The following is a 17,531-nucleotide window of genomic DNA, read 5'->3' as shown; positions in this document are numbered from 1 at the left end:
TTTAAAACTGTCAATACTCCACTTATGTTAAACATAAGATGAATTTGAAACGTCGCTAATTCTATCACATTTAATAATTTGTGAATAGTATCTATTTTTTTATTTCCAGTGCCCCATTTCAATTCAAATCATATTTAAATATCAAATTTTCTCTTGGAATTACAAAATGTCCTTCCAACAGAGAGGAAAAATGTACATATAGACAGTTTACATGGTTGTGCCAATGAAGTCCATAGTATCCATATAAGTTTGTGTTCTGCTGAAGGTAATTCCTTCCAGAGATTTGACACTTTTAAATTGACTAACAGAGCAACTAGTATTCCTGTTTTCTATTCATCAAATCTTTTCTTAACTTAATTATATGTCACTCTTCTAGCCAGTTCCAAACATTTAAAGTCTATTGTTTCTTTTCCCCATAATCCAACCTGGTTAGATATGAAAATCTGTAGAAAGCATGAAGAGGTTAACTGCAAACAATAATTTTATAGAGGCACAGGAAGTATAAACATATAGAAGAGTTGACATTTGGGCATATCTATATTATGGAAAGCTTGTACTATATATTAGTAACACACTGACTTTGTAGCACCTTGCTTTATTTTCTGTCTCTGCCCCCAAGTATCTGTGTATCTTAAGCCAAATCATTCAACGAAACTAAAGCTCAATTTCTCTTTTATAGAAAAAAATGTGCTCCAACATTTCTGCCATCAACATACTAAGGCATTTTTTTCCTTGTCATAGAGATTGAGTAGATGGAATTCATAATAACAAATATTTTTAAATGTAAAATACTAAGCTATTATCAATTATTGAATAAAGATAATAACATCATTTGTTTCATACTGTGAATCCTTTAATGCTAGAATATTAATGCTTGCCTTTTTTTTATAAAACCGCTTCAGAGAATAAGAGGTCAAGCTAAATTTTGTAACCTCTATAATGTGAAAAATGGTTTATATTTCTAAGAGTTGAACAAAAAGGAAAACAGATCTATGTTTTATCACAAAGCAGACACTTGAATAAGCACAAAATTATATAAAAGACCATTACTAACAACTCTAAAAGTTTCTCACATTTTCTCCTACTCACCAATATTCCTAACAAAAATACTCTCTTTATTAATTTTTATAGCAATTTTTTCTTTTTCCTTATGATTTTACCATCTGAGTTTGTATCTCTAATACTCTCTTTTTTATTTTAAAAATACAATAACATGGTATGCATCATTTTTATGTGGCTTTTTTTTTTTACCGTTTTTCTCCATTTTTATTGTAGTATATTATTCCATCTTAGGAAGTCATGTTCACTTTTCAAGCATTTTGCTGGTTAGGAAAATTTGAATTGTTTCCAGTTTGTGACTATTAGCATAATACTTCTATGGACATTATTAAAATATTTTCTTTCTTTGCATTTGTATAAATTTCTGGGGTATATGTCTAGGATAAACACTGCTAAGTCATAGGGGTACCACATATTTCTAAGGTTCATAGAAAGTTCTAGTTTTACAAAGTGAGTAATCACCATATATTCAGCAATTTGCCATGATTCCTATTTGTGCCAATACTTAGTAGCATTTTGTTCTCTTTCTTCCTCCCTCTCTCTCTTGTTCCCTCTCTCCCTCATTCTCCTCCTTCCTTCTGTTTTTCTTTTTCTTTCCTTCCTTCCTTTCCATGCCTGCCTTCTTTCCTTTGTTTCCACATTCTTCCTTTCCTTTCTGCCTTTCTTACTTCCTCCCCTTTTTTCTTTCAACATTACAGAGTGGTGGTGGGGGTAGGTATTGAAGCTTTTAATTTATATTTTTCTAATAAATAATAATGATTAATATATTTAATCTTTTTGACATGCCTGTTTAAGGCTTTTAATTGTTTTTCTATTTTGGTGTTTATTCTTAAATTGTAGCACTTTAAAAAATATTATTAGATGTGAAATTTTCTGTTATTTTTTGGTGTAAATATTCTCCTATTATGTGACTTTTTTCTTTCTATTCCATATTATTTTAATGCTATCATTCATAAGCTGTGATTCTTTCTTTTGTTTCAATTTTTCAAAATTGTGTTCAATTTTGATATCTATTCCTGTATGGGAAATGTTTTTTGTTCAAGCAATGTTTCCTATCCAGAGGTCAAGAGATATTTTCCTATTTTATTTATAGAATTGTATTATTTTGTTTTTTTATATTTAGATGTAAAAATTATTTTGATTGATATTTGTATTTGCTGTGAGGTAGGGAATAAGTTTTTCACCTCCTTCAATTGGGAACTAGCTTATTCAAAATTATTACAAAGATTATCATTATTTCACCATTCTGTAGATCCTACTGGGTTGTTATTATCATATATCCATGTTTGTAAAACTTATTATTATTTTTAAGTTGTTACAAAATTTTTTATTTTATGGTAGTATCATTATTTATTCTATCACCTTCCTTTTGATAAATATTTAGATTAAATTATATTTATTTGAACAATAAACACCATTAAAAAACATTGTAAAATATAGTAAACTATAAACTGATTTATTTCTATGGAGTAAATTTATGGAGGAGGATTCTGAGATCAAAATATACAACCATTTTTGAATTTTAATAAGTGTATTAAATTCTTTCTGAAGGGTTTTTTACTCATTTACATTTCTGTCAATATAGTAATGATGTGTATTAGGGTCCCTACATTTTTCACTCCTTATGTTTATTAGGTGAGTTGTTTGTTTTTGTCTATTTGAAAATTTGGTATTTCATTTCCTAAATTTGCATTTCAGCAACTTCTAATATGGTTGAAAAAAATGTTCGGATCATTGCCTACCTATATTGCCTTTTCTATGAACTGAATTCCAGTATTCTTCTAATTAAAACAAATTTCTTTTCTTTAGTTTAGAAATTCTAAGTGTATTAGTGATATTAAACTTTGAAATGGTATGTAAATTGCATGTATTATAGTAAACTGCTTGCAAAAATAGCCCCAATTCTTCATCATTTTCTCTATCCACACTCCTTGCAACCTAGTTTTCAGTTCCTCTGTTATTGAGTAGAGTATATTTCCACACAATTTGTATATGGGTTCACTTTGTAACTTATTTTGGCCAAAAGAATTTCCTGAAAAAGATGGTGTTCTAGTTTTGAGACTAAGCCTTAAAAAGCTTTACACACTGTAGCTTATTCTTCTAGAAACCTGCTACTACCATGTGAGCGGGCCCAGACTATTTTACTGGATGAGGAGAGACAAGTGGCCCTTTTACTTCTGCTCCTTCAGCCAATAGTCTACTTTCTGCCTTGAAATTGAAGCTGCTAAGGACTAGCCAGTCCCCAGGCCATCTAATATTTGATAACACGCACAGAAGCAAGTTCAGTCAAGATCAATTAAGTCTGACTCTGACAAGCAGAGCTAACAGATAGCAACAGAAGCATGAATAATAACACATACTTCTTTTCTTAAAGGACACCATAATTTCGCTGGGCGCGGTGGCTCACGCCTGTAATCCCAGCACTTTGGGATGCCGAGGTGGGCGGATCACAAGGTCAGGAGAGCGGGACCATCCTGGCTAGCACCGTGAAACCCCGTCTCTACTAAAAGTACAAAAAAATTAGCTGGGCGTGGTGGCGGGCGCTTGTAGTCCCAGCTACTAGGGAGGCTGAGGCAGGAGAATGGCGTGAACCCAGGAGGCGGAGCTTGCAGTGAGCCGAGATCACGCCACTGCACTCCAGCCTGGGCGACAGAGAGAGACTCAGTCTGGAAAAAAAAAAAAAAAAAAAAAAAAAAAAGACACCATGATTTGAGGTGTTTATTATGCAGATATAGATGACTAATAGAATTTTTCATCTTCATGGGTTACAGATTTAAATTTTCATCTAGAATGACTACTGCTTCATAGGTTATAGAATCATTTTCTGATTATGTAATCTAAATGTTAAAATTTTGTCTTTAATCTATCTGAAATTTATTTTATATACACCATTCTTTTCCAAATAGAAATCCAATTCAATATTACTATTTAGTGAATCTTTTCCAATTGAATTGATATAGTACATGTCATGTATCATTCGATCAGCAGCATTCTACTTTCATTGTAGTTTTATTAAGATGTATTGAGATCATATATCATTATTTCATTTCAAAAAAATTCAAGTATGTATGATTTTTAAATTCGGAATCATTAATCCCAGAATTTTAAAAATGGCATTTTGTTAAAAGTTTAGTTTTGCTCAAAAGTTATTAGAATAAAAAGGCAAAATGGTAAGAAAATGCTAGCCCTGGCTGGGCACGGTGGCTCATGCCTGTAATCCCAGCACTTTGGGAGGCCGAGGCCGGTGGATCACGAGGTCAGGAGATCGAGACCATCCTGGCCAACATGGTGAAACCCCGTCTCTACTAAAAATACAAAAATTAGCTGGACTTGGTGACGCGTGCCTGTAATCACAGCTACTTGGGAGGCAAAGGCAGGAGAATTGCTTGAAACTCGGAGTCGGAGGTTGCAGTGAGCAGAGATCACACTCCATCTCAAAAAAAAAAAAAAAAAAAGCTAATCCTGAATTTGCTATTTACTTACATATCTCAATATGTTTATTTAGTAATAATGATTTTTTATGACATTCACCCAAATAGATCAGAAGTCAGACTTAATTTACACCAGGAGACATGAAAAATTGTGACATCTACAACCTTTTATATCAAACCTGCCCAAATAAATGAATATGTAATAGGTTCTTGATGGAGTTTAAAACAAAGAAACTCTATTTAAAACAAAAACAAGTCACCTCTCTGTTTAGATGGTGATATATCACCACCTGCATCTGAATGCAGAGAAGACATCATTGAATTTTAAATTAATTCCACCTTCCAAGGTGTAGGATGACCTAGCCAGATTAATGATGGTGAGACTTGATTCAGGGTGAAGTTCTTCATAGACAGGCTGGAGCACAGATTTCTGGCCAGGAAATCACAGGTCTTCTGTGAGAGCAGCCAAGTCCAATCCCATTAGGAAAAAACATGACTTAAAATATCAGGAAGACCATATACAAATTCCCAAAATGATAAGATGAGCCTCAGAACTAAATTCCTCATTTATCTGTTCATTCAAAATGTATTAAAATTGTTTATATATCAGGAATTATTAGCACTGTCTTACCTGCTACATTTGGTGAGAATATATAGACAATAAAGCATTTGTATACAATATCTATATACATGTGTACAAAGATAGATATACAAAGAAAAAGACTTAAAGGGTAAGAGTTGAAGGAACCAGACATGTGCATATCCATAGGAAGTACACTCCAAAAAGAGAAAAAGAATGAGTTCAAAGGCTAAGATATAGAACATGCTTAACATGTTAAATAAACCTAAGAAGACAAATGTAGCTGAAGAAGAGAGATAGTGTTTTGACAGATAATAAATTGAGAAAAGTAGATGAAATTGAATTCTGTAAGCTGCTTTAAGTGATTCTGATATTTATTCTATTAGGACGGGAATCCATTTGAATAGCTATAACATAGCATTATATTATTGAATTTATTAAGAGACTCGTCATGGCTGCCACATAAAAAACAACAACAACAAAAAGACTACAGGGACAAGAATAAATGCAGGAAGAACAGTCCAGAGACTGTTAATAGGTGTCCTGTTCATAGGTGATTATATTTTTGTATAGAGTGGTAGAAATGTAAGTCACGAAAAGTGGTAAGACTCTCAAAATATTTTGAGGAAAAATCTGGCAGGATTTACTAATTTATTTTATTTGTAGACATGAAAGAAAGAAACCAAATAATGATTCTAAGACTTGTGAACTAAGTAAAGAGATTTTATTGAGATTAGAGAGATGAGGAGAGGAGTAGGTTTTGGTGGAGAGAAGCAGAAGATTGGTTTGAGACAAATGGAGTTTAAAAGTTGGACAAGTAATTTGTAGACAGTTGTATAGATGTGTCTGGATTTCAGTGTAAAAGTCTGGCTAGAGGTGCACATTTGGGAGTTGTTAGCACATTTGTTACCAAAACATCAGGGATTCAGGCTAGGTCCTGCTACTCATCGCAGAGAAAGCCAATCACTGAGACCGCAAGTATTGCCAAGGAAGAATTCTTTAATCTGGTGCTGCAACTGAAGAGATAGGAGCTCCGTCTCAAATCCATCTCTCTGACTGACTAAACTAGAGGTTTATAAAACAGGGAAGAAATGTAACAATGTGTGATATGGTTTGACTCTGTCCCCACCCAAATCTCAACTTGACTTGTATCTCCCAGAATTCCCATGTGTTGTGGGAGGGACCAAGGGGGAGGTAATTGAATCATGGAGGCTGGTCTTTCCCCTGCTATTCTCATGATAGTTAATAAGTCTCACAAGACCTGATAGGTTTATCAGGGGTTTCTGCTTTTGCTTCTTCCTCATTTTCTCTTGCTGCTGCCACATAAGAAGTGCCTTTGGCTTCCTGCTATGCTTCTGAAGCCTCCCCAGACATGTGGAACTGTAAGTCCAATTAAACCTGTTTTTCTTCCCAGTCTTGGGTATGTCTTTACCAGCAGTGTGGAAATGGACTAATATAGTATATTGATAGCAGTAGAATGGGGCATTGCTGAAGTTGTAAACTAAAGAAAAGTGAAAGAACATATTACTGCAAAGTTTCTTCAAAGTGTCCAAATGTATTTTCTGTTTCCACATAAAGTTTATTAAAAACAAAATTATTTTAAGAACTGTAATCAATGTGATTTATTATTGCAATTTCTATAGTCAGAACCTAATAGTAAAAAAAAAAATAAACACCTAAAATATATGTATATATGTCATCATTATAGTTGGTGATCATTCTCTTTTTGCTAGTGTTGCCACTGCATTACTTCTTCAAAAATGATCTAATGGATTCCATTCCTCACATCTTTATAAAGTCTCTGTTCTTAAAATGTTTTTGAACAGAAGCATTCATAATATATTATGGATAGCTTCATGAAAAGACTGAGCAATAGGAATTTGTTATGAATAATTTATAGGTGATGATTTCCAAAACAAAGTTATAAAACATAAACTAAAAATAAAATGGTTTCATTTGGCCTGTGGTAAAACAAACAAACAAAAAGTTTGAACAGAAAACTTATGAGCTACTTAAAGTTATGTAAAACAGTAAAAATGGACACTTTTTATATGCTGTTTATATCTGCTTACCATAACAACATAAATACAGATTTTCTTATCATTTTCTATAATTTAATATTATTGAAATGTGTTTCAGTTTAGGACTAAACATATTGAAAATAGTGGAAAGACAGATAAATTGATTGGGGGCAATTTCTTCTGCCCTGTAGTCTTTAACTCTCTGGGGAACTCAAAGTAACCTGAAGTTCCACACTGTTAGCAAAGTGAAATCAGTATGAATGACTGTAAAAATAATCTGAGGAATAAATGAAGCCTCTCACTCTAATAAACATCCTTGAGGATGCTAGTCCTGACAATAAAGTTTCCTGCTTGAAGCAAATGCTCTGTGAGAAATGAAACTTTCAGTTTCCAGTTATTTTATACTTGGGCAGAGGGCAAAGGCTACAATAGATAAATTTTGTTACTTCTTGTTTTATGTTTGTTCCCTCATGTTGGAGAGATGGAGAGGAAGCAGGGATTATATATGCAATTATTTTACTCTATAAGAATCTGGGGCCTGGCATGGTGGCTCATGCCTGTAATCCCATTACTTTGGGAGGCATAGGCAAGAGGATCTGTTGACCCCACGTGTTCCAGACTAGCCTGAATAACACAGTGAGACCCTGTATCTACAGAAAAACAAACAAAAAAGTAGCCTGGTGTGGTGGCACATGCCTATAATCCCAGATACTCAGGAGGCTGAGGTAGGAGAATTACTTGAGCCTGGGAGGTTGAGGCTACAGTGAGCTATAATTGTGCTACTGCACTGAAGCCGGGTAACAGAGCAAGACCCAGTCTCAAAAAAAAAGTTTTTGAATTCACAAATGATAATAATTATAATAAACTACAACTAAGAAGTGATTTTTGTTTACTCAGGCATAATACATTCCCTTAGCCATTTAATTGAAGATATAATCTTTTAGAAGATTTTATGGTGATTCATCATAAACAATAATAACAACAATAGAGCAAATATTTATTGAGACTCTAGCATATGTCAGACATTAATTTATGAGTGCTTTATTATGGATTATTTTATGCCTTCCTCACCATAACGCCATGAGGTAGGCACTGTAGTATCAGTTGTTACATTTTAATAAAGTGAACACTGAGATTTAGAGTCTTAGAAAAATTAGGTAAACTGTTAATATCATATAGGTAATAATTTTTGATATTGCAAGTAAATTTTAATAATGTAACAATCAAAGTCTGAAACTATTATCTCAATCACTACATTCTACCTGAGTAGGCCTACCAGACCATTTTAAAAACCTTTCCTATAAGATTTCTTACTGCATGAGAACTTTCATCTTTCCTTGATATAGTTAATATAATCTATATGATATTAGTCCAGACAGAGAAAACTATTTACTGCACAATCCTACTGAATACTTGCTTAAATTTGTTTTAGAACACTTTCTTTGAAGCTCGATAGTTTAAACCTAAGTTCTATGCTCTAAGAATTGATAAACAAGTTCATGTTTTTGCAGTCTTTCAACAAATATTCAATAGTGACTGACTTAGAGTTGATTACTGTGAGTTGAATACTGCAAATGCTACTACCCTTGTGCTCTTTTACCCTTGCTTTCAGATTTACAGTACTGAATTTACCGACTTAATGAACAGCACACAGTGGCTAAATCCACTGCACACTTTTCGTCTTACAGACGTCTCTGTAGCCCTTGAGATGGTTGAATACTCACACCTTGGAATAATTTTTGTCCCTAACATCATTGACATTATACTCCTTTTATTTTCCTTTTGCTGATGTGACACTTCAAATTATCCCTTTGGAACTATTTTTCTGACTATGTAATACATTTTTGAGACTTCTAGGCACTCTTCCATTATTGCTAGACCCAAACTTGATGAGAAATGTAATGTACTGCCTGTGAATTAAATTACTCATATAATATGATGAGCTAAATCTGTGTCTCCTTCCAAGAACTCTCTGTTGAGCTCCAGACCAAGTTCTTGGTGGACATCTTCACTGGGATGTAAAGTAGGCCAATCAAATTCAGTAGGCTAAAAGGTAATCTCATCAGTGCCCTGCAGCCCCCTTGAAAAATTCGCCTCCTTTTAGAACATGACCCCAACACTTGTCCAAACCAATCACCAGTGCTGTGTGCCATTCTGCATAGCTAATTATATCACCTCACCTCGTTAAGTCTACCACTTCAAAAATATCCCTAATCTCGATACTAAGCTCTATTTCCGTACAAATGATTATAAGTCCTTTTAATATTTGTTCCCTATTTCTTTCTTAGTATGGCCACTTGTAAACATTTCTACAGTGCTATTCTGGTTGTGGTTCTTCCAACGATTCCCATTGTCACTCTCTGTTAGGCCGTGTCTAAGCTTCTGTCAATGGAACACTCATTCTTGTCTCTCTTCCCGACACTGTCCATCCCTGTCCCTGCCCTTTATCTTGCTAACTTTTTAATCACCTCTAGCCCTCGACATAGAATATTTTCTTAAAGAAAGAAAATATTCCCTGGTATGTGAGTACTAAATTAGGTGAGGCTCCTTGTTTTGTTCTCTGAGGGAAATTTCTATTCCACACATTATTATGTAGTAGATAAATTATAATTTGTTTTAAAGTTGTTACTTCTTGAAACTGCCACCTCTTTCAAGACAAATAGAATAGTTTGTTGTTACAGCTTCCAGACCTAGCATAAACAAATTTGACAAAACAGGTGTTTACAAAATTAATAAATAAATGACAAGAATAAATATCTCCTTATTCAAACAATTTACATATTATGACCAAAGTCATAGATTTTGATTAAAGATAGTGTTATACACAGAATGAAAGCAATGATAGGATTTGATGTTTTCTCTACAGAACTTTAACTGTAAACTATGTAAATAATTTAACTCCCTCTCAGAGGTCTTTCTTCAAAAAACTAGATTACAAATTTATGTTTCTTTTTGCTTATGCCTTTATCTGGATTTTTGAAGATCCTTTTATTATTTCATGTCACTCTCACCATTACTCCATGAAGTAGGTACTGTACTGTAAGTTGCTACATTTTACTAATGTGGACGCTGAGATTTAGAAAAGCATGTCTATTTCCATTACCAAACATCTAAGCGGCCTGCTTACTCTCAACTTAATCCTCAAATTTTCTTTATTAGGAATAAATATTTAGTTTTATTTTAATTACTTCCCACATATACACCTAGTATTATTTTTGTAGTTATTTTTATAACTTTTTGGTAACTTGATAGTAGAGACTTTATCATCTATTATAAAACATCAGATACTAGACATTTGACACCAAGAAATGCTGACTAAAGGCAGTTTTGTATAATATATTTAAGAGATATCTTATACATATTTTCCTGAGTAAAATAGTATCCCCCTTTTTCATGTAAAACAAAACAAATAAATGTGAATCCCTCACAGTAAATAAAAAGTTGTTTTATATTCCAGATTCAAATATTTCCAGGTCACTAAAAATAGAAATATTGTTATAAACAGAGCAATGTTTCACAAATGCATATGGCTACTTTTAGTGTTGGAATTTAATAGAACATGTCATAAAATAAATGGCGAAATAAATAGCACTAAAAAATATTTTATTTTCTGGTCTGTGGGAACACGGTCAACACAAATGCTTTCTTAAGACACAGTATTGTGGATACCTCTAATCTAAAAGCCAGCAGGTGGCAAATATTCACACCACCTAATGTTAGTACCGTATGTGCAATTGGAGATATGGTTCTCCCATGACCAAATATGTAGAAAACGGAGATTCTTAATTTCTTGAACATAAAATTCCAACTCTCACATGGAGAACTGCAAGAAGCTACTCCTGTGCTAAATGAAGGGATTTTTTTTTCTCTTAAACACAATGTATACCTTATAAATTCAATTTTTACTCAGAAAAAAAAGCTTTTAACAGGGATCAGCTAAAAAGAGTGAAAATATTGAAATAAAAGGGTGATTTTTAAAGTAGAAACACATGAATTACTATGTTTGTACTTCCTCAAACTAGTTGTGTAACCAACTACACTGACCCTACAGTTTCTCCAATATAAAATGAGAATATATTACTTACCTCTAAAGCAATGTGAGAATTCAACTAGACAATATCTACATTAGACACCTTCTTATCCTGCCCTCTCATTTATTATTCATTCCATTATTTAATTACTTATTTATATAAGTATGACTGGTAGAAACACCTATTATTCCATGGATTGTAATCCAACACTATTGTCCTTTATTTTGTTACCAGTTAGACCATTGGGCACTCACAAAAGCTTGTACCTGTATCCGTCTGGCATGCCCTCATTTTTTTTGTTTCATTTAACACTCCCTTACTTCATGGTATTACAGGATGCTCAAGTCTCATCTTGAATTTTCCTGCCCCAGCCCTTAAGTCATCCATTTCTCCAGGAAGCCCCAATTCTCCTTTTGAAGAATTGGATGTGGAAACCACATCCAGGTGCTGGCATGCTCACTGCCACTCGAATGCTGCTTTCTCTAGATCCCCCCAACATATACAGCTAAAAAATATATGTATGTTTAGTAATCCATGTATGCATACAAATCAATATTTATTTCTGTAGCCATCCATTAGAATGTAAACTGAAATCAATATGAATTTGTACATATATGACTGACTCTAATTCATTACCACAGAGTTAATTGAAGTTGTCTGTCCTATCTTACTTCCTATTTCTTCCCTGACAGTGAAAAACCTCCCTTTTGTCATTAAAATTTATTAGTTTATTTATTTTTTTTAGTATGTGAATACTGAAGGTTGGAACAAGGGAATAATATTTTTAAATATAAAAAATGGTAGCTTTTAAAAATATCAATATCAGATTATTTTATTCACACACAGATATACACACAATTGATTTTTATCCTCTTGTTTTGTAGTCTGCAAACTTGCTAAACTCACATATTATTTCAAGTACTACTTTTGTAGATTCCATAGGATTTTCTTCAATGATTACCAGATCATTGACAAGAAAGTGCAAAGAGTTTAATTTTTTCTTATGAATCTAGATAACTTTTTTTCATTTCTTTCTTTTTTTCTTCTTTTTTTTTTTTTTTGTTTTTTTTGTTTTGTTTTGTTTTGTGCTGGCTAGGTCTCCAGTACAACATTGAAAAGAAGTGGTGAGAGAGCTAACATCCTTGCCTTGTTCCTGAGTTTATAAAGAGGTATGAAATCTTACCATTGGATCTGCAGATAGTTGCAAGGTTTGGTAAATGTTCCTTTTAATATTGAAGAATATTGTTTCTATTTGTTGGAAATTTTCATAGGAATAAGTATTAGTGTAAAATGCTTTTTCCATATTCATGTAGATAATTATATGATTTTTCTTCTCAGTTTGCTAATGTGATAAATTGCACTAATTAATTTTTAAATGTCAAAACAACTGCATTCTTGGGATAAATCTCTTTTAATCATGGTGTATTTCCTGTATATATAGTTGGCTTTGATTTTGAAATTTTGTGGTAATACTTTTACTTCTATGTTTATGTAGTTTTATTTTCTTATAATTTCTGAAACTGTTTTTTAATAAGGGTAATGCTTACCTTGTGATTTAAAGGAAAAGTATTCTCTTCCATTTAATTTTTCTGGAAAAGTTTGTGTAGAATTGAATTGAATGGCATTATTTCTTCTTTTAAAATTGTCATAGAGTTTATCAGTAAAGACAACTGGACATGGAGTTTTATTTGTAGGAATATCTTTAAATACTCTAATTTCCTTAATAGACATAAGATTATAAAATTGTCTATTTTAAAATCATAGCTTTACTAATAATTGACATTTAATAGAAAGTAAATGTTATAATTGAACAATTTGGTAATTTACACATATGTATACAGCTATGAAACAGTCAACACAATAGTAAAAATTGTATCACGCTGAAAAGTTTCTTCATGCTGACAATGTTCTGTAAGTTTGCACCTCCTTTAGTGAGTAACCTAAATCTTCTCTGAAATATTTCATATCTTGATGTTCCTACCTGGATTAGATTTTCCAGATCCTTTATTATCATTTATTATTAGACAAATACTGGGAGATAGCTTAAGAGAGTTCTCTAGGTTACATGTATTTTCTTCCCTATCCCCATCTTGTAGCAGAAACCTCATTTTCTCTTGATAAACCACTTTAATCACCTCGATCAACACAACTCTTCAGTGTATTGGTCTTGAGTTCAATTGACCCAATATTGTCAAATGTCAGTCTCAGGTCCCAGTACAATGTAACTCTTTTCATGTTCTCAGGAATCAAAAAGTTGAGACACTGATAATTAGGCAGAACAGTCAGAGGCATCCCCTCTATTTCACCTATTGATTCCTCAGACTCCTGAAGAAACAATCTTCTATTCACTAATGCATAATATATATCTCATGTTAGCAGAAAGCAACTCAAGCTCACAAGTTGTTTCCTACCTGACACTAACTGAATCTTCAGTAAGTCATTACATCTTTCTACATGACCAGCTGTTTCTCAATGCTAGAGCATGCTTTTTGCTATAAAATGAGTTATTATTGGCTTAGAAGCAAAGCTGTATAAAGTAGCATAACTTAGAATGACATTTATAGTAATTCTGTGATTAGCATTACAACTGAAGCACAGTATGCAGGGAAGGCAAACCCATATCTAGAGCAAATATCTATTTTAAGGAGAACAGATTCTTTCCTCCATGGTAGAAGATAGTAAAAAAATAAATAAAAATATAGTCAAGTGTGCCAGGCGCGGTGGCTCACGCCTGTAATCCTAGCACTTGGGAGGCGGAGGTGGGTGGATCACGAGGTCAGGAGTTTGAGACCAGCCTGACCAACATGGTGAAACCCCATCTCTACTAAAAATACAAAAATTAGCCAGGATGTGGTGGCACATGCCTGTAATCCCAGCTACTCGGGAGGCTGAGGCAGGAAAATTGCTTGAACCCAGAAGTTAGAGGTTGCAGTGAGTCGAGATCATGCCATTGCACTCCAGCCTGGGTGACAGAGTGAGACTGCATCTCAAAAAAAAAAAAAAAAAAAAAAAAAAAAAAAAAAAAAAAAAAAAAAAACAAATATATATATGTAGTCAAGTGGCTGGCTGATCCTACATTTTCCCCTTACTCTAATTGTGATGTCTTTTTAAGATTTGTATTGGTTTCTGCCGTTGGCAGATTGGGCAGGTAGTGGTGATATAATGGGATCAACCGTGGCAAGGGCAGTCCACATGTCTGCTACCAATACATAATGGGTTCCTGGTATCACCACACCACTATAGATGGACTCAGGCCAAACTCTATTTACCACCTGAACCCTAGATGTCTTTATTCTGTGACTCGGGGATTAACATTCTCTAAAGTCAGCATTCAATAATCAGTAGACATGTTGACAATTTTTGTTGACATGAGACTATAACTTGACTGAATACAAAACCGGAAATAAGATTTTGGTGATATTGTAGGGTGTTTCCATAGAGATATCAAACTTCTGGATATATTAACTCAATGACTTCTGGATATATAAACTTATTTAAGTAATGGAAAGCTGATGGCCATGAGAGTTACTAAAGTACTTTTCAAGGATATTGACCCTACTCAAAATATATGTCAATGTCATTATTAAGGGGGATTATTTTGGCCCCCTTAGTGGACATAATTAATGAGTGGGTTAATTAATTGTGTTTATCTCTTTCTAAGTTCAATATAGGCAAATGCTGAGATTATGATTTAATTAACCAGCCAAGCAAATGATTTGAATCATCCCCTATTAATCAAAATGAGATGATACATTGCAATTCATTTAGGAGTACCCATATTGATAAACTCAACCCAATTTTAAGTTCTATTCCTTTTTGTTTTGTGCAGCCCCCAACAAAATCAATCCCTACACACATTCCTCAAATTTGTGCCAATATAAGTGGGAAATTTGCAGCTCTTTTGATATTCAAAAATTTGCTTCTGATATTGACTTTATATGGTCCATGGAGTGACACTGGGCTCTAGATTGGTAATGAGGGTTTGTTGAGATGAGGCTAAAGACGATATCCTTTTGCAAGATGTGTCAATGAAGTTGCAGTCAGAAAGGCAAAACACTATAAGTAATATAGAATAAGGATTTTTAAATAGGAATACTCTCTTGCACTACTGTGGAGGAAGCTGGGGAAGCAAGGATCTAAAAGGGAAGATAAAGGATGAAAGGCAGTTCACTTGCCAGCCTCCTATTGCCAGGTGTGTCAGAGAGGGCTGCTAAAGGCACCTGATGAGAATGACTGTGGAGTTATTATGGGTCAGCTGGGACCGTAATAAAACAAAATTTGGACATGGAGTGCTGGGTAGTGAGGACAAATGGCAATCTATTGGTATTCCTGCATTTGTCTGTCTCCAAGTAGATAAGAAAGACAAGCTGAAATCTGCTAGTATTTCTACATGTGTCTCTTATCACCTCTATCCATAATGGCCTCCTGAGAGTAATGGTTACTGTTACTCTTTTCTGCTTTCCAAATTGTTTGCAAATTTTTCTTTTGAGCAACTGTAACATGGAACCATGCCAAAAAGGATGTCTTAATGTGTTTTCTGCTGCTGTAGTAGAATACCACAGACTGGGTAATTTTTAAGAACAATACTTTATTTCTCCTAGTTCTGAATACTGAAAAATCTATGATCAAGGCACTGTAACAGGCTTGGTATCTGGTAAGAGCCTGCTCTGTGTGTCCAAGATAGCAAGCTGAATACTATTGCTTCCTGAGGGAAGGAACACTTTTCCTCACATGGTAGAATAGCAGAGGAGAGTGAACTTACTTTGACAAGCTCTTTTCATTGTGACATTCATCCATTCATGAAAATGAGAGCCTTCATGACCTAAACATCTTTCAGAAGGCTCCACTTCCCAACATTGTTGCTTTGGGAATTAAGTCTCAACATGAATTTTGGAGGGGCAAAAACATGGAAACCATTGCGAGGGAATTCTGGGATCCTTAGTTCTACTTACCTTAGGCAAGTTGACATCACAAACTCCGTTTCACTATATCACTTGAATTTTGTCTGAATTCAACTGAATTTCAGATATGTAAGCCCTGCAGCAACAAAGATGAGAGAATATTTTATGACACTATAAGATTGTCCATGTCTTCTTGTACTCTGAATTGAGCTGAGAATTTGTACTTTGAGCCTAATATTTTCACCTTAAATTCTTGATTGTAATTATAAGCAATTGACCTACTCCTCTCTTCTTATACGTATTCCGTGAGTCCCCATAATTGTTTACTGCACCAGCCACTTGATGCCCCAAAGGTTGTTTTCAATACACTTCATGCAGGAAACCGCAGGATTTAATGTAACTGTTTTGAGTGTCCTGCAATTCCAGAGTCCAGTCCCTTTTTCTAAGGTTAATGGATTCTCACACTCTTCAAACAAACCCGGAGAAACAATCTGTAAATTCTTATTTTCTTGGAGTCTGTAACAGGGAACTACGACAGATTCCATTTATTATGTTAATGAGCATTCTCAATTTACAGGCAATAGAATTGTTTGTACCATATTTAAACATGAAGAAGTTTATTGAGGCATAGGTGGCCCAAAGCAGCATTAAGAAGATTAAAGGCTACGCTTCTAGGACTGATTCCCAAAATCTCACCATAGAGTTGTGTAGAGAAGAGAGCTTCTGCCTCTCACCACTGTCAGAATGTTGTTGAATCAAATTGCTGCTGTCTAGGACTTCGCACACCATCACTACATGATCTGTATCAGCAAAGAGGCTTCCTCATATAGCCAAGTAACTCAGCTCTGAATCTAAGTCTTGAAGATACAGACACAACTCTCAGCTTTAAATGAAGTATCAAGTATCCTTTCTGCAAAAAAGGGTATCAGAAATGTAGTATGTAGTTTTCTTGCCTCTTCAATTCAAAAGGTTCTTCCAGATATTTTGGGGAGTAGTTACTAAGCATTTCACACCCAGTGGTTACTAAACTAATCTTAGCCAATCAGCTGCCTACTTTGAGTTACGATTAAGTGATGCAAATAATGAGAGGCAACAGAGATTCCTTTCTCGATGAAGCAGTAGCAGCAAACATTTTTAAGGCCCAGCATTGCTGGCAGAGTGTCAGTTCGGAGCCAAGTGTCCCAGTGCAAGCTATGGACTTCAGGGCTCAGCTGCAGCTTCAGAGTCAGCATTGCTCTCGCCATCCTAATTGTGCAGCATGATTTGGCTGTGACTGGCTCCATAACCTCCTTTTTGTGATACTCAGTTTCCAAAATAGATTCTGCATAGTTTTCCAGAATTTTTGAGCTACACAATACTCTTTTTCTTTTTCTTTTTTTTTTGTTTAAATAAGCTAAGATTTCTATTGGTTTCAATTAAGTGTCCTACATGTTACAAATGGAATGATGTTTAAGCTTTCTAATTGCTACAGAAAACATTATCAATACAAATGATTTGTAGTTTTCTAC

The 17,531-nt window shown here is 34.1% G+C and overlaps 1 long non-coding RNA gene across 1 annotated transcript in view; it reads right to left on the bottom strand.

Annotated features, from left to right (window-relative positions):
* Positions 1 to 16,994, bottom strand: part of LOC101927141 (uncharacterized) — a 49,821-nt gene extending 32,827 nt beyond the window's left edge. The window contains exons 1-2 of the long non-coding RNA NR_134295.1: positions 16,720 to 16,994; positions 16,075 to 16,159 (exon numbers count right to left, since the gene is read on the bottom strand). This is a non-coding gene — a long non-coding RNA (uncharacterized LOC101927141). The remainder of the gene's footprint in view (positions 1 to 16,074; positions 16,160 to 16,719) is intronic.
* Positions 16,995 to 17,531: the final 537 nt, after the last annotated feature.

The sequence above is a fragment of the Homo sapiens genome, chromosome 8 (genome assembly GCF_000001405.40).
Source record: "Homo sapiens chromosome 8, GRCh38.p14 Primary Assembly".
In the NCBI taxonomy this organism is placed as follows: domain Eukaryota; kingdom Metazoa; phylum Chordata; class Mammalia; order Primates; family Hominidae; genus Homo; species Homo sapiens.
Note: the sequence above shows the minus strand (reverse complement) of the source record. Positions and strands in the feature narration are given on the sequence as shown.